The sequence below is a fragment of the Homo sapiens genome, chromosome 9 (assembly GCF_000001405.40).
Source record: "Homo sapiens chromosome 9, GRCh38.p14 Primary Assembly".
In the NCBI taxonomy this organism is placed as follows: Eukaryota; Metazoa; Chordata; class Mammalia; order Primates; family Hominidae; genus Homo; species Homo sapiens.
In genome coordinates, this window is record NC_000009.12 from 28,012,067 (window position 1) to 28,032,394 (window position 20,328).

General features: G+C 37.1%; 1 protein-coding gene across 19 annotated transcripts in view; it reads right to left on the reverse strand.

Moving 5' to 3' along the window:
- The window catches only part of LINGO2 (leucine rich repeat and Ig domain containing 2), a 1,275,985-nt gene that overhangs the window by 74,450 nt on the left and 1,181,207 nt on the right, over positions 1 to 20,328 (reverse strand). For 2 of the 19 annotated variants that reach the window (XM_017014303.3, XM_017014304.2), the window contains 2 exons: positions 13,666 to 14,252; positions 289 to 2,326 (listed from right to left, as the gene is read on the reverse strand). The exons of 13 other annotated variants lie outside the window; for them this stretch is intronic. The gene's annotated coding sequence lies outside the window, so the exon portion shown is untranslated. Of the gene's footprint in view, positions 1 to 288; positions 2,327 to 2,879; positions 4,484 to 13,665; positions 14,253 to 20,328 lie in introns of those variants that run through there. 4 more of the 19 variants (XM_011517724.3, XM_017014305.2, XM_017014306.3 and 1 more) reach the window with 4 other exon arrangements.

Here is a 20,328-nt window from a genome sequence, read left to right on the forward strand (position 1 = left end):
ATCCCACCTTTATTTTCCCCAGAAGAGTTGGTTTAGGACTTCATAAAAGGAAACAAGTCTCCTCTTACCACTGAGCAAAATTGCCTTCTCTGCTTTCTTTTTGCCCACCACAGGGTAGTGGCTGGGAAAAGAGTGGAGGGAAAGGGAAACTGAGAAGCATGTATAAGGTCACATACATATGAGCTACACATGGGGAGGATGTGAAGGTGGAGAGGAGCTGGTCTCATGAGGACTTTATGCCTTCCCCACTTGCGAGAGAATGGAGAGTTTAAAAAGTTTCTGGCTTACCTTGCTTTTTTGCATGTGGCCAAAAGGGTTATAGGTTCCTCATGATTTATCCTCAAGGATAAAAAAAAAAAAAAGTTAATCAAAGTTAGAGTCTTCTAGGTTCTAACCTTCTCTACTGCCTTTCTCTACTGTCTCTGCTGCCAAGGTCCATTCAACGGCAGTGAGAGGAGTGCAATGCTAATCATAGTTTTACAAGACGTAGCCTGACTTTTTGTTCCTCCAACAATCCATTCAAGCCACCAGCTCCTCCTTTTCTCACCCTACTTCTGATTGGCAACCCCTCCATACCGCCTGGCCAAGACACTTTACTCCACAAGCCAGTCATCCATCATCAGTTATTTCAGTTGGGGTTTGTAGCTTTCTCAAGATGATCATTTTTGCTCATAGCTGCCACCTCCCTGGGCAACTCCCACTTATAGCCCCAAGGAGCCTACTTTCTTTTCTTCACTTTTATGATATCTCCATTCAAAAACTGTCTATCTGAAATTGACTATTAAAAGAAACACCACCTTCTCTAAATTCCTGTTTGTTCTCAGTCTTTGGACAGCAGCAGAATCACTTGCAGCGCTTGTTAAGACAGATTCCTGAGCTCCATCCTGATTCTGATTGCGGAATTACATAAAGAATGCTGCGTGAGATTTTGTTTTTCTAACAACTTCTCCAGTAATATTGATGTTGTTGGTCTAGGGTTAGCATGTTGAGAACGAATGCTTTACACATTTTAAACCTGTAAAATGTTGGAATGATGTTTTAGCATAGGGTACCCGAGTGTATTTTCTGAGCACTGGGTCTCTAGTAACAATCAGGATTTTAGGGATGATAAAAGACATTTTGGCACATAGAATTCCCTATTTCTGCCTTCCACTTTTGGTCTTTGTATTTCTTTTTCTTCTCCTTTATATATGTATTTTAAATTCTTCACTCTTATTCACCTTTTCCTCCTGCTCCAAGCCTGACTTAGAAGGGTCTTATGATCCAGACGATTGTAACATGTAATAGGAATAGTGTGAGAAAGAAGCCCCAAGGTAAAAGGAATCTGCTTATCTGCTGTACTCAGGGAAAAATCTCGTTGATGTTAAACTAGTGTGGTCTCTCCTTCCTCTAGCATAGTTATTCAGGAATCAATCAATCAAAATTATCCAAATATCCTGCAAACATTTGGCTTAAAACTTTTATCAGTATTTTCAACAACTGTCAAATACTCTTGTACAGAGGAATGTGGCAAAGACGGGGAGTGAATGAGAAGAAGCTGATAGTAAGTAGCTCTACTTTTAGTTTCTTATTGTCTACAATGGCTCTTCATTTTGAAGCTGGAGCTTTGCTTTATGGTTGGTTCCTGGCTTGCTAATAAGAAGCAGATGTTTCCCACAAAGATATTTCTGATTCTTTTTTTCTATACCCCTACTTTCAACTTGGAGTTGGAAATCAGTAAGTTCAAGGGAATTTATTACCTTTATCCTCTTAGCACATGAAATTGGAAGATGATAGGGTTTTAACTAGTTGTCAGATTGTTAGGTGAAAGGATATTTCTGGCTAAAGAATGGGGCTTTCATTGCCGTTATTTTCTTTTCAATTCTTTCTGCAGTTCCTAGAAAGAAATCAAACTAGTTACATTGCTAAGGTGAAGAAGTACATGCTCTGGTATTTTTGCAGTGAAGTTCTTCAGGCCCTGATACCTCTCAAGCCCAGATGTCAATCATTTCCAGCAAGTGCAGCCTTTTTTTGCCACCACTGTGTAGGACGTGGTTACCACTCAGAAATTATGGCAAGTTAATCTGCAGGCCTTATTCAATAATTCTTAGAAACACATGAACACAGTTGGTGCGCTCGAGCATTTGGAAAATTAAATTATTCTTTAGAATTAGCCTACTGAGCTGGAAGAAAATAAAGAACACTTACCAAAGGGGAAAAAATGACAAAAAATTCTAATGACTAATGGTTTTTCATTATAATTGCATAATAGTCTCTTGATACAAGTGCTACTCATTGTTCTGATAATTCACTGATCCATTAGGCCCCTCCATACATATGCAAGCACCTAGATTAGAAAACAGAAGAATAAGAATATGTAATTGCACTCAAGTGCCTTAAATTAGATCAATTCAATGGCACTCTTAACCATCCTACTATTAGCAGATGCTGAGAATATGAGAAATGATAAGCAACTTCCAACTGATACACTAGATAAATTTTACTTTTTTATCCAGGATAAGACAATTAACAAAGGTAACATTTAGTTCATAGTAACATTTTAAAAATTTCTGACGATTATGCATAGTGTGCTATAAACATTCATCTACTAGTTTTTATGTAGACAAGTTTTTATTTCCCTTGGACATATTCCTAGAAGTTGAGTTGTTGAGCCACAAATTATATTTTGTGACTGTCTGACCTTGAAGGGCCCACAGAAGATAATTCTGTGTTGGTGGTTATAAGAATCTAGGTATATGTTAGTCCTCATAGAACTGTACACCAAAAAAGTGACTACTACCTCATGCAAATTCAATATTTTTAATAATTTAGAAAACTCTCCAAATAATCTGCATAGATTTATAAATTCCATCAAATTATTACATGAATCATTAACATACCTCTAGTGCTTCAAAAACTAAAGTTTGTACAAAAAATGTGGTGATAAAAAACAAAATAGTTCCTGAAGTGAATAATTTTTAGTGGGTAGAGTTATATATCACATATAGCAAAGTTGTGTCTCAAATTGAATGTCAAGAGAACTGGAAATTCTTTGATCCAAAAGGCAACCAAATCGTCCACGCTACTCAGTCCTTATTCAAGATCCTTTAACAAAATGGAAATATATTAGTGGGAAGTAATTCTTGGATAGGAGCTGGGATAACAAGTTCCTCTTATTAAACCTACTGATTTCATTCTCCTATTCTCCCAAGGTTTAGCAAAAGCAGGCCTTACATTACAAATTTCTTGTAGTATTGAGAAAAGGTTCCACTTCTGTACATGGAGCTTACAAATTTTTTATCCCATGGAGAATTGTTAAAGATTATAAAAATGCATAGAACACACACAGGGCAATAATGTATTGAGGAGTTTTAAATTGTAATTTTTACTGTCAAGCCCGTAAGTAAATCATCAATGCAAGAATTCTGAGGTTCAACGTTTAAATAAGAAAATTAGTACTCTTCCTTCTATGTTTAAATTCCGTGTTTGACATTGTCTGGAAAAATGTCAATAAATATTACTTGTGATATTTTCAATTTTCAAAGCAATTATTACATTAGGAACACAGGTTTTGGAAAGAATCACAACTAATGTCCCTGAAAGGGTAATGATGCCAAGGATAGTTGTTTTTAATAAAAAGTTAGAATGTACATCGTGACAAACTAACAATCACAATTAGAGCTATCTTTGTCCCTTTTCTACCCTCAAAACAACCTGAGACTCAGGTGATAATCCCAGTTTACCTTAATGTTAATAATTTTTAGTTATTAATTTGTTCATTTTACAAATATATATTGGATATAACTATGCACCCTGAACTGTGCTGAATGTTTCAGATGCAATGGAGAGCAAAGCACTTGAACTCTGATTTACAAGAGGAGACCAAATAATCACACAAATATTTAATGAGAAACTGTGCTAACTAACCGTTATGAAGGAAAAGTAAAAGGGACAAAAAAAAAAAAAAAAGATACCTCAGGGATATATTAAGGAAATGTACCTATTCTGAAGTTTAATGGAGGCTTCCTTGGAGAAGTGGCATTTGATCCTGATTTTGTGACCAATGACCTGCATTTCCTGATTCCAATTTCTTTTCCCTCCTCATTCCAGCTAATATCCAAGAATAATCTCAGGGTAATTGCTTTAGGTTCCAAATGGGACCTAAAATTACATTAAAAGCTGGCAGTAGATACAATGGCAGTGGCCTATGTGGGACTCTGAGCATAGGCTTGGCATTATGTCCAGGGTTTCCGTTGCAGATCCCACCACTTCCAAATACTTAGGTCAGGCTATCTGAGGTACAACATGAGCTACAAACCCTTTTATCTTCTAGGATATTTTTATCCCCTGAAAGTCTGACTTCTGAAATGAATTTAATATTATCAAGAAATAGGAAGGAGAACTGTATCTGACAAATATGACATTTCAAATCAGAGTCGGAAGTTCTTATAGTAAAAGACAAATTTCCCACAGAAATAATAAAAACCCCTAAGAGACTACTATGAACACCTCTATGCACACAAGCTAGAAAATCTAGAAGAAATGGATAAATCTCTGGAAATATACAACCTCCCAAGACTGAACCAGGAAGACACTGAATCTCCAAACATATCAATGAGTTCCCAAATTAAACCAGTAAAAAAAAAAAAAAAAAAGCCTACCAACCCACAAAAAGCCCAGGACCAGGCAGACTCACAGCTGAATTCTACCACATGTATAAAGAAGAGCTGGTATCAATCCTACGGAAAATAGTCCAAAAAATTGAGGAGGAAGGACTTCTCCTCGACTCATTCTATCAAATCAGGAACCTAATACCAAAACTTAGCAGAGACAACAACAACAAAACAACAACTTCAGGCCAATATCCTTGATGAACATAGATGGAAAAATCCTCAACAAAATACTAGCAAACCAAAACCTGCAGCATATAAAACAGCTAATTCACCACGATCAAGTAGGCTTCATCCCTAGGATGCAAGGTTGGTTCAACATACATACATCAATAAATGTGATTCACCACATAAACAGAGCTAAAAACAAAAACCACCTGATCATTTCAATAGATGCAGAAAAGGCTTTTGATAAAAGCCAACATCCCTTCATGTTAAAAACTCTCAATAAACTAGGCATTGAAGGAACACACTTCAAAATAATAAGAGCCATCTATGACAAACCCACAGCCAACATCATACTGAACAGGCAAAAGCTGGAAACATTCTCCTTGAGAACTAGAATACCACAAGGATGCCCTTTCACTACTCCTATGCAACATAGTACTGGAAGCCCTAGCCAGAGCAATTAGGCAAGAGAAAGCGATAACAGGCATGCAAATAGGAAGAGAGGAAATCAAAGTATCTCTGTTTGCAGACATTATGACCGTATTCCTAGAAAATCCCATAGTGTCTGCCCAAAAGCCCCTTGGTCAGATAAACAAATTCAGCAAAATTTCAGGATACAAAAATAAATGTACATAAATCAGATCATAAATCAATATCTATAAATCAGTAGTACTTCTATATATCGGCAACATCCAAGCTGAGAGCCAAATCAAGAACACAGTCCCTTAAGCCACAAACAGAGTAAAATACCTAGGAATACAGCTAATCAGGGAGGTTGAAAGATCTCTACAAATGAGAATTTCAAAACACTGCTTAAAGAAATCAGAGATGACACAAATTGGAAAACATTCCATGCTCATGGATAGGAAGAATCAATACTGTAATAATGGCCATGCTGCCCAAAGCAGTATGATTCAATGCTATTCCTATCAAACTACCAATGACATTCTTCTCAGAATTGGAAAAAACTATTTTAAAATTCATATGGAAACAAAAAACAGCTCAAATAGCCAAGGCAATCCTAAGCATAAAGAAGAAAGCTGGAGGCATCACACGACCTGACTTCAAGCTATATTACAAATCCATAGAGTAACCAAAACAGCATGGTATTGGAACAGAAACAGACCCATAGACCAATGAAACAGAATAGAGCGCCTGAAAATAATGCCATATGCCTACAATCATCTGACCTTTGACAAAGTCAACAAAAGCAAGCAATGGGGAAAGGGATACCTAGTCAATAAATGGTGCTGGGCTGACTGGCTAGCCATATGCAGAAAATTGAAACTGGACCCCTTCCTTACACCATATCCCAAAACTAACTCAAGATCAATTAAAGACTTAACTGTAGAACCTAAAACTATAAAAGTCCCAGAGGAAAACCTAGAAAATACCATTCTGGACATAGACCCTGGCAAAGATTTCATGATGAAGATGCCAAAAGCAATTCCAACAACAACAAAAATTGACAAATGGGACCTAATTAAACTGAAGCACTTCTGCACAGCCGATACAGAATGAAATATATTCTCCCATTATAGAATCAGAGAAAATATTTGCAAACTATGCATCCAACAAAGGTCTAATATCTAGACTCTAAGAAACTTAAAATAACAAGCAAAAAACCAAACTATTAAAAAGTAGACAAAGGACATGAACAGATACTTTTCAGAAGACATACATGCAGCTAATAAGCATATGAAAAAAATCCTCAGCATCGCTAATCACTGGGGAAATGCAAATACAAACCACAATGAGTTACCATCTCACATCAGTCAGAATGGCTATTACCAAAAAGTCAAAAAAAATCACAGATGAAGGCAAGGTTGAAGAGAAAAGGGGGCACTTATACATTGCTGGGGGGAATGTAAATTAGTTCAGCTATTAGAACAGTGTGGTGATTTCTCAAGGAGCTTAAAACAGAATTACCATTTGACCCAGCAACCCATTATTGGGTATATACGCAAAGAAATACAAATTACTATATACAGATACATGCACACATATTCATTGCAGCACTATTCACAAGATGAGGAATCATACACTATGGGATACTATGTAGCCATAAAATAGAATAAGATCATGTCCTTTGCAGCAACATGAGTGGAGCTGGGGGCCATCATCCTAAATGAACACAGGAACAGAAAACCAAATACTGCATGTTCTCACTTATACATGGGAGCCAAACATTGAGTACACATGGGCACTAAGAAGGGAAAAACAGACACTGAGGCCTACTTGACAGATGAAGATGGGAGGAGGGGCACTGAAAATCTACCTATTGGGTACTATGCTTTTACCTGAATGATGAAATAAACTGCTCTCCAAACCCGTGACATGCAGTTTGCTAATATAACAAAGCTACACATATACTGCTGAACCTAAAACTTAAAAAAAAAAATCAGTTTCCAACTATGGCACCTAGGGGAATATATGTTTTTTTTTTTCCATTCCTTAGTAATGGATTAGCAAACACATAATAAAAGCTCACCACAACTAGTGAGTGCTGGGTAGGGAACCATGGAAAGAAACAAAGGAAGATTAGAACCCTAATCTGGTCTTTTATGTGACTCTGGGGGAATACTAAACTCACCAATGAAACAAACTGAAGGCAGTGACAAAGAATATTGTAATAATATAATCAGGTATATTTAATCTATGAGTATTTGCTCATATTTGCTATGAGTAAAATAGCAAATAAAGTGGTCAGATGCATCAGAATTGAGCAGGGCTTATCTTTAAGTGGTAGGGTCATGGCCTATTCCTAATTTATTCTTTTTGCTTATCTATACTTTCTGAATACTGACTCTACCATTCTATTTTTTCATTAGGGATGCAAAAGCAATATTTTTTCTAAAAATAATGTATATATATGTGTGTATATATTATATTGCTTATCAAATTCAGGATTTAAGCCTCAGTTTTTTCACCAATTTAACCAACTTGCTGAGTAACCTTTGGCAAATTCCCCTTGCCTCCTGGACTCAAGTTCTTCCTACTTGTCAAATGAGGAGATGGGCCAGGTCTGTTTCCCAAACTTAGCCAATCTTCAGAATCCTTTCAGCCAACTGTTAAAAATAAAATCCCAAGAGCACCTGAAATCAGCCAAATGAGACATTCCAGAGAGAAGCCCGGGAAGATGTGTTGTACAAGTGCCCCCAAGTGATTCATAGAAATAGCCAAGCCTCAGAAACACTACACTAGATGATGCTTATGGTCACTTCCAGTCTGAATGAGCCATCTCTGCGTTAACATTTAGCACACAGCATGCAATCCCTCTCTAAGTGGGAAAATGACTCTTGTTGGAACTGGGCAGGAGCACTGAGAGCACAGCCTTTCCTTTTATCTGGTTTCAGTGTTAGGGTCATGCTGGGCTTATACAATAAACTAGAAAGTGTTATTTGGGAAGCTGAGGAGGGCAGACCACTTGAGGTCAGGAGTTTGTGACCAGCCTAACCAATACGGTGAAACCTCGACTCTACTAACAATACAAAAACTAGCCAGGTGTGGTGGCAGGCACCTGTCATCCCAGCTACTCAGGAGGCTGAGACATGCGAATCACTTTAACCTGGGTGGTGGAGGTTGCTGTGAGCCGAGATCGCACTACTGCACTCCAGCCTGGCCAACAGAGTGAGACTCTGTCTTATAAAAACAAAACAAAACAAAACAAAACAAAACAAAACAAAACAAACAAAACAAGAAAGTGTTACCTCTGCTTCTATTTTTGAGGAGACTGTGGAAAATTAGCATCAATCTTTGGTAGTATTCACCAGTGGAACCATCTGGGCCTGGTGCATTATTTTTTTGAAAGGTAATTATTGATTCAACATCTTAAACAGAGGTAAGCCTATTCAGATTGTATCAATTTCTCCCTGTTTTGGTAGTTTGTGTCTTTTGAGGATTTAGTCCACTTTATCTAAGGTAACAAAATTGCAGGAATAGTTGCTTGTAGCATTTCTTTATCATTTAAACCTCCTTGGAATCTATAGTAATGACCCCTCTCTCTCATTTCTGATATTGGTAATTTGTGGCTTTTCCTTATTATTATTTTTGGCTAGCCTGGCTAAAGATTTATCAGTTGTATTGATCATTTCAAAGAACCAGCTTTTGGTTTCATTTCTTTTCTTTGTTTTCTTTCTTTCCATTGCATTGATTTTTGCTCAATTTTTTTTTATTATTTCTTTTCTTCTGTTGCTTTAGGCTTAACTTGCTCTTTTTTAATTTCCTATGGTGGAAGCTTAAATTATTTAGATGTTTTTTTCTAATATATGCACTTGATGCTACAAAATATTTCTAAGGACTGATTTTTCTGTATCATACATTTTAATAAGTAGTATTTTCGTTTTCATTTAAAGGTATTCTTCAGAGTTCTTTGACCCATGTGTTATGTACAAGTGTCTTTTAATTTCTAAATATTTGACATTTTCTAGCTGTCTTTCTGTTATTGATTTCTACTTTAATCCCATTGTAGTCTAAGTACATTGTATAATTCTTATTAAAGTTTTTGAGGTGTCTTATGGCCCACAGTGTGGTCTATTTTGGTGAATGCTCCACGTGAGTATCAGAAGAATGTATATTTTCCTGTTGCTGGATGCCATATTCTATAAATGTCAATTAGATTAAGTTGATTGGTAGAGCTGTTTGGGTCAACTGTATCATTATTGATTGTCTGCCTGCTTGATTTACCAATTATTGAAAGAGAGCTGTTAAAGTTTCCAACAATAATAGTGAATTGGTCCATTTCTCCTTGGAATTTTATCAGTTTTGCCTCTTATTTTGATGCTTTGTGGTTAGGTACACATACATCTTGGATTGTTATGTACTCTTGGAGAACTGACCTATTTATATAATGCTCTTTATCCCAGATAATTTTCCTTGTTCTGAAGTCAGTTTCGTTTAATACACTACTTCTGTTTCTTTTGATTAGTAGGAGCACAGTAAAATTTTTTCCATCTTTGTTTTTAAGCCGAATCTTGATCTTTAAAGTGGGTTTTCTTGCAGATGACATGGAGTTGTGTTTTGTTTTTGTATTTTTAATTCACTTTAAAATGTTCCATAATTACTGCATTTAACCATAAATATTTAAAGTAATATTGATAAAACTGGATTAATATCTACCATATTTGAATTGTTTTATATTTGTTACATTTGTTCTTGGTTCTTTTCTGCCCTCTCTAGATTTAGTTGAATATTTATATGATTCAATTTTAGCTCCTCTTTTGGAATATCAGTTATACCTTATTAAATTTTATTAAAAATTAAATTTTGCAATATACATAATTCACTAATAAAGTCCAATTTCAAATACCACTATATTGCTTGATATGTGGTGCAGGTATTTTAACAGAATATCCTTGAAATTTCTCCCTCCTATTCTTCGTGACATTGCTATCATTCATTTCACTCGTCCTATCTTCTATAATCACTCAATACATCATTGCTACTATTAAACAGTTCTTTTATATCAATTAAGATTAGAAGTAAGAAAAATAAAATTTTATCCTTCCTTATTCCTTCTGTTACACTCTTCTTAATATAGGTATGAGTTTCTGACCTATATAATTTCCTTTTCCCTGAAGGATTTATTTTAACATCTGCAGAGTGGTCTTCTGGTCATGAAATCCCTCAGCTTTTGCTGGTCTGAAAAACTAATTCTCTTTTGAGGTTGAGTTTCACTGGATATTCTATATTTGTGGACTTTTTCCCTTTCAACAGTTTAAATATTTTTTATTTCATTCTGTTCTTGCTTGCATAACTCTCTTCTTTTTCTCTCTCCTTCCTTCCTTTCCTTCATTTTGATATTTATCCTGCTGGTGTTTGCTGAACTTCTTGGATTCTGTGGTTTAGTATCTGTCATTAATTTTGGGAAATTTTCGTCATTATTACTTACATTTCTTCTGTTTTCTCTTCTCCTTTCTCTTTTAATTATGTTTATGATATACCTTTTGAAATTGTCCTACAACTCTGGATGTTCTCTGCTGATTTTTTGTTTTGTTTTGTTTTTCAGTTTGGGAGGCTTCTATTGTGACTTATCTTAAAAGCTCATTGTTTCTTTTCTCAGCTGTGTCTGTTCTACTAATGAACTCCTCAAAGACATTTTTCATTCTATTTTTTATTTCTAGCATTTTGATTCTTTCTCAGAGTTTTCCATATCTCTGATTATATTAATCATGTGTTATTGTGTATTTTCTACATTTTCAATTAGAGCCTTTAACATATTAATCAGCTATTTTAAATTCCTTATCTGATAATTTGAAAATCTGTGTCACAGAATCAGTCTGATTCTGATGTTTGCATTTTGTCTTCAGACTTTTTTCTTGTTTTACTATACCTTGTAATTTTTTGTTCAAAGTTGGACATGATGTTTCAGGTAATAGGAGCTGAGGTAAATGTACCTTAACCCATAAAAGTTTAATGTTTATCTGGCTAGAAGTTGAACTGTGTTTAATGGTTGCTGTATTTGGGTACCCTAATAGAGGAATTAGAGGCTTCAAATTCCTGTAATATCCTTGTTTTTGTCACTTCATTAAGTAGAATCTATGCCTGGCAGTTCTTTCATCTGTAACCCACTGTTACTATATTGGAAACTTGTTGGTATGGTGGTAAGGTGTAGAGAGGGAAAATGTTCTATACTCTTATGAACCAATCTCAGTCTTTCAGTGGGCTTGCGTTTTGTGGTTATGACCTTACAAGTTTTCTTAGCTTCTCCGCAGCCCAGTTGAAACAGGAAAGCTAGAGGATGCTGAAGTCAGAGAAATATATCTTTCTCCTGGCAGGACAAAGCCTTTTCCTCTGGATTTGTCATTTGTTAAGAAGTCTCTTGGCATATTTCACAATGGTAACTCTTCTTCTTCTCCCCTGCCAAAGCCAAGAAGAGATCTTTCCTGGGTTTCTAACATGAGAACCTGGTGACTTTCCTAGAGATAAAACTTACCAAAGTATGGGGCCCCCTAAGATTATGCCACACAGGAATTTTTTCCTTTAGCTAGTCCATACTCAGCCTCCAACAATCCATCAAATCTACCACTGAAGTTTTTCTACCCATTTATGGTTCCAGTAGCATCTGTCCAGGGAAGCGAATTTCATTTTTGCGTCTCTGGATTCACCTTTCTGTTTAGATTCTGGGATAGCAGTTTGCTTTGTATTCTCAATTCTATGAGGAGTCCAAGAAATGTCACCAATTTTTCAGTTTGCTCAGATTTTTCTAGTTTTAAGAACAGGAGTGACCACTTCCAAGCTCTTTACCTGTGGGAACTGCAACTGGAAATGGCCCTTTCTGAGAAATAACCATGCATTTCTGGTGATACCTTTAAGCAAATCAGCATGATTTTTAAATAAGTACTTTCAGGGCTGCTTCCTACAGTTGTGAAGGTTGTGCTCTACAAGGACAACCAGGCTAAGAGGCAAAAAGAGGGTGGCATCTAGTTTGTGCAAAGGTGCCCGGAGGATGGGTGGAGGGTGGGTAACAGCTGACCCTGCTTTGCAAGGTTGCACAAGGGAGGTTGAAGCCTGAGCTCATCAATTCCAACCATCTTATGAAACAATCCAGTGGCTCTTCTTAGCTCAGTTTGTGGGGAACATTCAGAACTGCTCCAAGGATTCCTTCATCTTGTTCAGGCTTTGATGGAACAGGGCCAGTAGCAGAGAGCTCTTTCAGATCTTCAGATTTTGCATTTATCTCCAGCCTCACTCTTTGAGAAGGCCAAAGCCTCCTTTTGTAATACCTTTCCTTTATCATGCCTCCAACTGCCTTATGCTTGCCTAGCTGCCTGGTTAGACAGCTTACATTTGTAACCAACAAGTGAGTTCCAATGTTCCAAAGTCATTGCATCTTCATGGATATCCTCATTCATTGTTCTGGGGAGCCACATGGTGAATGTGAACTTGAGTTCTGAAGAGTAGGCTTGTGCCAGGCAGCCAGCTTCCCCGACGTGGAGCCAAATGTTGCATCTGAGCAGCATTTGAGCAGTATCTCCCCAGCCGCGACAATGAAATCAGGTCCTTACTAGAGAGTAGGGGATTGGTGACTGTAGACTCTGGTAATGATTCTGGCACTGCACCAGTAGCAGGCAGCCCTCATTTGTTTTGCTGCCTAGCACCCGGGCGAGATCATTGTTTATTATGGCTCAAAGGCAGTAATCATTTCACATAATGTGAGGATTTCTTTCACTCAATTACTTTCATGCTTTGGGCTGATGAGAATAATAATCATGTGTTGATTACCGGTATCTTGACAGATGATGCTGAGAAACGCAGGTCACTGCTTGCTCCTACCCTTTTTTCCCCTTAAACACTCAAGGTTGTGATTTGGAATTTCATTCAGTCACCACTATTACATCCCAAAGTTTCTGATGCTGAGAAGACCAAGACAAAATATTTCTTACAGGGGCCCTCAATTCCTGCAGTCTGCCCTATGGGATAATTTATGTTGATTTGTTTTAAAGAGACAGGCATACATAATTCATGTCCTGTGCATTTCGGCTTTTGGCCATTGAAAATACTATCTCTTTTGGCAGCGCTTGCAGGAACTAGCTACAATAAACATTTCATACCTCAGTGGACACTCTTTTCTCAGCTAAAAGAAGCCTGACTTATATGTAGACTCCATCATGAGAGGCCTGTATTTAATGAATTCAGCTGAGCATTTTTTCCTTCCAAAGCATAAAACAAGCTTATTATCTGTATCAATAGTTGGTTTTTCTCAAAAGGAGTCAAGGTGTGAATGGGCATGAAAGGGAAATTAAATTGAAACTCTTGGTGGTTTCATGGTTGGAGGCCAGTTTAAAACTCATACTCTAATAACTGCTTTTGAACTAGCTAGGAGAATTGTTAGATCAGAAAAGCATACAGATTTGAAGAGAGACATCAGGGTAGGCTTCCCATCCAGAAGGCAGAGAGCCAGACAAACGACACTTTTGAAGATATCGGTGCCACTGCTGAGGATGGCTGGATTCATACCTGTGTAGATTACAGGGGGTTAAATATGGTCTACACATGTAGTGCCAAAGTAGTAATTTAAAAATGCAAATCTCATCAAGCTGCTCTTCTCCTCAAATTCCTTCAGTGGCTTTCCATTTCACAGAGGATGAAGACCAAGGAGGCTGCATGATCATTTGGGTCTCCAATGCTTCATCCTCATCCAGTCTCCTGTTGCCTTTACTTACTGTGTTCTAGCTACTGAGGCCTTCCTTTGCTTCTCTACAACTGTTTGCTTTTACCTAAAACTCCTGTTTATGTTTCAGGATTCATCCTAAATAATACTTCTCCCAGGAACTTCTGTTTATTCTGGTAAGTTTAAATCCCTTTGTTAAGTGTACTCATGCCCTTTTTGTTGCTAAGATTTTATTACTCGGGTAATTTTTGATGTTTACATACCTACTAGACTGTAAACTCCTTAAAGGCACCTGGAGGATTCCACTTTGCAAATGTATCCACCTAAGGCATAATAGATATTAAATGAGTGAGTAAGTTAGTGCAGTGGTTCTCAAACAGTTTGAACATCAGAATCACCTGGATGGCTTGATAAGGCACAGGTTGCTGGGCCCCTAGAGTTTCTTCTGCATAAAGCTGGGACCAAATAATCTGCATTTCTAAGGCGTTCTGGGATGGTGCTGTAGTCACACTTTGAGAACCACATAATAATGTAAAGTCTTTTCATTACTGCACTACTGCATTCTTACCATGGGGACCCCAAGTTATAAAGCTTGCATTTTGGATCCATCTCTGCAACTAAATGCCTGGAAAACCTTAAGCAAGTTCTTATATTTTCAAGTCAGTCAATACATCTTACTGTTTCTTATTTTTTTGAGGTATCCCCTCCGTTCCTTCCCTCTGCCCTGTTTCTAGATGGAAGCATTGTAACCTCACATTTGAACTACTGTAACCACATCCTTATTCTCTTGGCTACCATTCTCTGCTCCTTGAACTATTTATTTTTTATTGCCAGTTATAAGTGCCTCAGATGTCATTATGACTAAACTTTGCCCTTGTCTAAAAATGTTGAAGATCTCAGTATTCAAGGCTTTTTCACGACCTAGATCTCCTGTGTGTGTTGCTCACCTCTCCTAAATTTGCATGCAACTCTTCATAGCTTATTGTAGTTATCTAATGGTCCATCTTTCCTGACAGGCTGCCAGCTGTATAGGGGCAAGCACCATGACATTCTCATTCACTTAACAAACTTGACCTGTTGTTGTTGCATCATAATACATTACTAAACAGATGAAAGTCACTGAACACTATATTTTGCCTCTTGTATAACAGTAACACTGATAACCCTAGAAGCACTTAAATGGATTTACTCTATGCCAGAATTCATTCTTCAAACAACTTTACACATATCGATGTATTTATTCTTACACTAAAGCATCCCCATTTTACGGGTGAGGAAATTGAGGTATAGAGAAGTAACTTGTCCAAGATCTCGCAAGTGGTGGTTCAAGCATGCATACTCTGGAATTTGGCTGTAGTTCATTATCTTACCTACCATGACTGAGGCATAGTCCAAATAATGCCTAAAATTACCTGAAGCAATAACAATCTCTTGTGTGCCAGTTTATTGAACTACACATAATCACAAAAAAATTATTCAGCACCTTTTATTTGTAGGGAGCTACGGCAAATACTGGGGAAGCAAGCATGGGTGGAATACAGCATGTAAGGTGCAAGTCTGTCTAATCCTACAGGTGGAGGCAGACAACCCATGTTTCACCACTTTCTTAGTAATGTGACCTTGGGCAAGTTACTCAACCTTTCTGTGTTCCGTTTCTTTAAAATGGGGAAAATAAAACATATTTTACAAACTTTCTGGCAGGATTAAATGCGAGGTGGTATATAAAGTATTTAGCACAATGAAACACGTCATGTCTGCTTAGTAGATAAGAGCTATCATTCTAGCCCTGGCCTTAAGGAGCTTCCCATATATTCATCAGTAGACAGCAATTGGTAGTGATGCTCTTGGATTAAGAATTTAGCTGCCATAAATTTTTGCCTCAATATGTCTAAGACGAAATCTCATGTGTCCAGGATTGGCCCCAAAAGTATATAGGAGTGGTGGGCCATATCCAATTAAAGAGGAAATCAAACTTAAAGAACATAAAATGATTCATAAATGGAGGTTTTTTCTTGACCACTCACTTATTTGTTATTTATTGAGCAGGTGTCAAACTGCTAGGCACCAAGAATTCAGAGAAGAAAATAGTGTTTGTCTTTTTTCTCTCAAAACTGTTTTCATCACTCATGCTATATTTGAACTTCTGTTATTGACTCTCTTGACCGGTGTTTTAAGATAATGAAGCTAAGTTTAGGCTTATATAGAAAACATACCAAAGAGCTTATATTGAACAGAATTAGAAGGCTTCAGGTTGGTAGACTTTTAACATAGCTTTTCCACAACTAGGCAGGTGCAATGCCATCATATAAAATCTTTATTTCATCGATTCTCATCTTTCACTTTAGCAGCTTTTCAAGCTGCTCTACCTGTCATAGCAACAGTGTTACATCATGATGAGCTGGTAGGATATTACGGACATCTACAGTATAAAAGGTGGAAGTAGGATTTAGGTTTCTATAGATGCTATACTTGCTCATATACAAATGTATATACACGTAACACCCAGAGAAGATTATAACAATATACATAATATAATCATTGAAATTAATGAATGGTAGATTGATGTATCCAGGGGGTTGTTTCCAGGACCCCCATAGATACCAAAACCAGAAGATGCTCAAGTACTGTATAAAAAATGGCATAGTATTTGCATGTAACCTATGCATATCCTTCCATGTCACTAGATTACTTGTAACATTAAAACAATATAAATGCCATGCAAATTGTTATATTGTATTTGTGTTTTTTGTATTTTTTTTCTTTTTGAATATTTTTGATGAGCAGTTGGTTGAATCCATGGATGAGAATCCACAGATATGGAGGGCTGCCTACACTCATATAGGGAAAGCATATATATAAGTATACAGACACACACAAGCACACATTTGTAATCATCCAAATTTTACCTCTTCTGAGCCTATGGAACCAATTTAATCTTGGTACAGCAGGCCCCAAGGCAACCATCAAACACTGCACAGACAACTGCTTATTGGGTGCTTCTTAGGGAGGCTCACAGGAACTTTCAAAAATAGGATAGGCGGGGCTAGATGAGAGTGAGTATATAAAAGACCATCTATGCAGAGAAATTTCAGCATTGCATTTTTCTCCCTATGAAGAAATCTGCTCAATTCATTTGTTTTATGGTATTTAAATATCAAAAAATAAGGTCCCTTTAAGAAGCCAAGTGATAAGACAATTTTTCATCTAGAACAGTGATTTTCAAACTTTAGTGCATATTACTATCACTAGAGGCTAGTATAAAATGCGAGGTCAGATCCACAGGATCGTTTCTTGGGAGTGGGATCCAGGAATCTGAATTTTAACAAGCATCCCACTGTTCTGCTGCGTTTGATCTGTGGCCAATATATTGACAAACACTAAAGTGTAAATTAAAAACAGGCAGGGTACTTCTCAGAGCTACTCGGTTAACAGAAAGGAGAACGAAGATGCAAGGCTTGTTGATCTGTTTGGCAAGAGAGATAGTTAAGCCACTTTGATATTGAGAGGCAGGTGGGGAAATTTACCACTCTGAGTACCAGCAGCAGGAGCAGCTATGAAAGGAACCACATTTATATCCTTCTAACCGTCAAAAATAAAATGAAGGAGTTGATGTCGGATATAAAAAGTGACCTGAAATCAGCAATAACTGATACGTTTAAGAATTTATTGAGATAGTCAAAACTAATAATTAGTCAAAACTAATATGTGAAAATTGTTAGCTCTTTTAGAAATTAAGGATAAATATCATAGGGTGCTGATATTATATAAAATAACATGTGGGAAGTTCTTAGAATAGTTCCTGGCATGTACAAATTCTTCAACTGTTGTATGTATTATTAACTTGCAATTATATAACTTTGAAAGCATTTGTTGGTTGGATCAAGGTTATAGGTCAGAAAGGCACAATAATTCCATAGTCCCTAGAGAAATAGGAAGATTCCTACTGAAGGAGAGGACAATTCAAGTGAAGAGCGTAAGAAAATGAATCTAGAATCCCAGAAATCAGAGAAGGTGATGTAAGGCCACCAGATATCAGAATACACAAGTAAAGCTGATCCCCAAGGAGAAGGTATTCTGACTTGTAAGAGCTTCCATATACTGCAGACAGTAATTGGCTATCACTGATCATTCAGGTAAAGCCAAAAATTATAGGGAAGAATCAAACACTGCACAGACAAGTGCTTATTAATAGAATGTGAGAACTCAGGCACCAATGACTCATGTTCAACACTAACTTGGAACATGAGAAAACACTTCTTAAGTGAGGCCATTTCTGAGATTCTGAGATAGCAAAGTATAAAACCAACTGTATATTTACTTTCATGTCAATATATTTTATCACAATGTAGTTTTTATTAATAAGTTGTGTTGACTAACAAGTCAACACCCTAAACTAAGACTCATTGGTATTTATGCAATTAACTCAGAAGAAGTCTTACAAAATTCCTAAGGTTACTGTTGTATCACAAAGATGAAATTTTAAAAGGTCCAGAGACACTTCACTCCCTTATAAGCTAAATATCTGGCAATCCCAAATGTATAAAATGGCCTGGAAGTGGGAAATAATAAGTGTTGGCTACTCAATGCTTTAAGTATCTAACAGCAGATATTAAGTGTCTGCTCCAGGACCTGGTATCACAGCACTTGCAGTAATGCACCATCCCTTTCAGTTTGAGTGACTGAGTTACTCATATTCTCAGAAGCTAATTAATCTTATTTGAAATAAAATTCTAACATGTTGTAACCCTACTATCAACAGCACACTACATTGTAGCTTAAGGTGGTACAATTAAGGGCAAAAAGTGGCAGGGAGTAATCCAATGATGAAGGAAATGGAAAAACAAAAAAAGCAGACAAAGATTCAAAATGAGACTCTGAAGTCATTTAAGTAAATCCTGTATTCGCTTGCATACCATTGACAAATTGCTGAACTCCCCAAGGCCACATTGCACTTTGAGACAAAGGGGTAGCAAGAGATAGATGAGAGAGAGAGATTTCCTGAGAACAAGGATTTAAATGATATGATCAATCTTATACTTTCCCAATTCTAATATTGATTCTATAATAATTAATGGAGTCGATTAATGAGGCTTTATAGTGTTAGATCAAGCTTTCCTCATATCCAAGCTTCTCCTTGGCTGTAAATGAGCCTTCAAAATGGGAGAAACACTCATCTTCCTGGAGGCCGAGACTATATAAAGGATGTGATTTCTCTGATATATTAAAAATTTAAGTGGTGGGCTTGTGTTAGCTTTGGAGATACTCACTAAATAAAATGGGACCATCCACCATGTTTAACCTTGTTTTGCATATATTAAGCAGTCTCTTTATACCCACTTCAGTAGAAAAACAGGATGGTTTTTTTTTTTTTTTACAATTTTTAAAAAATTTAACATTGACATAATTATATTTATGGGTTACAATATGTTTTGACTTATGTTTACATTGTGGAATGATTAAATCAATCTAATTGAATCCATCACCTTACAAATTTCTAAAAAGCTGATGGATTTTGATGGCATCAGATTGCTTTAGTAGGAATCTAGGATCTGCCACTTACTTGCTGTGTGACCTTAGCTACTTCTCACTCACTTTCCTCATCTTTAAAGTGGGGACAGTCTGGTGTCTGCCACACAACATTGGTTTTGGGATGAGATTAGTTGAGATAATTATGATCTGCTCTGTCTGTGTCGGCTAAGCCGATTATTGTTTGTCCAGGGCTGATTGGGAATACCTGGGAGACCTCTGCCAGCTCCCTTTCAGTGCTGTATGGCAGCAAGCTGTCCAGAACACACACTTGTCTATCAAAGGAAAACAGATCATTACAGAGAGATATTAGTGATTCTATTCTTAAACTGTTGGGTAAAACCACGCTTCACCATGATGCTCCAAATCCTCCTTAAAATACCTTCAATCTGGTGTATTATTGTGACAGCCAACTGTGTGCCAGGCAGGCAGTACCTATTAAAAGTTGTTTGGAGATTAGGGCTCAGAGAACAGCTGGGTACCTTTGTTACTAGCAGTCTGCTGACTCAAAATGAGGGGTGGGGGGGGAAAGCCTCACTGGGATGAAGACAGCAAAGAAAAACCGCAGAGCTGGGGGGAAAATAAAAACAGCTTTGGCCTTTGAAAACCGATTGCTCTGCTGTCCTGTCATGAAGTAGGTAATATGGGCATTCACAATTCCACACAGGATCTAATTCAAGTCTTAAAAAAAAAATACAACATGATAAAAACCCAGGTCCAGGTGCAGGCTGTTTTCTCTTGGTACTTGGTTTGAGGAAGCATTTGTTGCTCTATTATGAAAGCGCACACACTGCCTGCCCTCGCTGCCCAGCACCCCACCTCAGTCTCCAGGGCTATAGGAATGCTGATCACAGATGGGCTCCCACTGCCTTA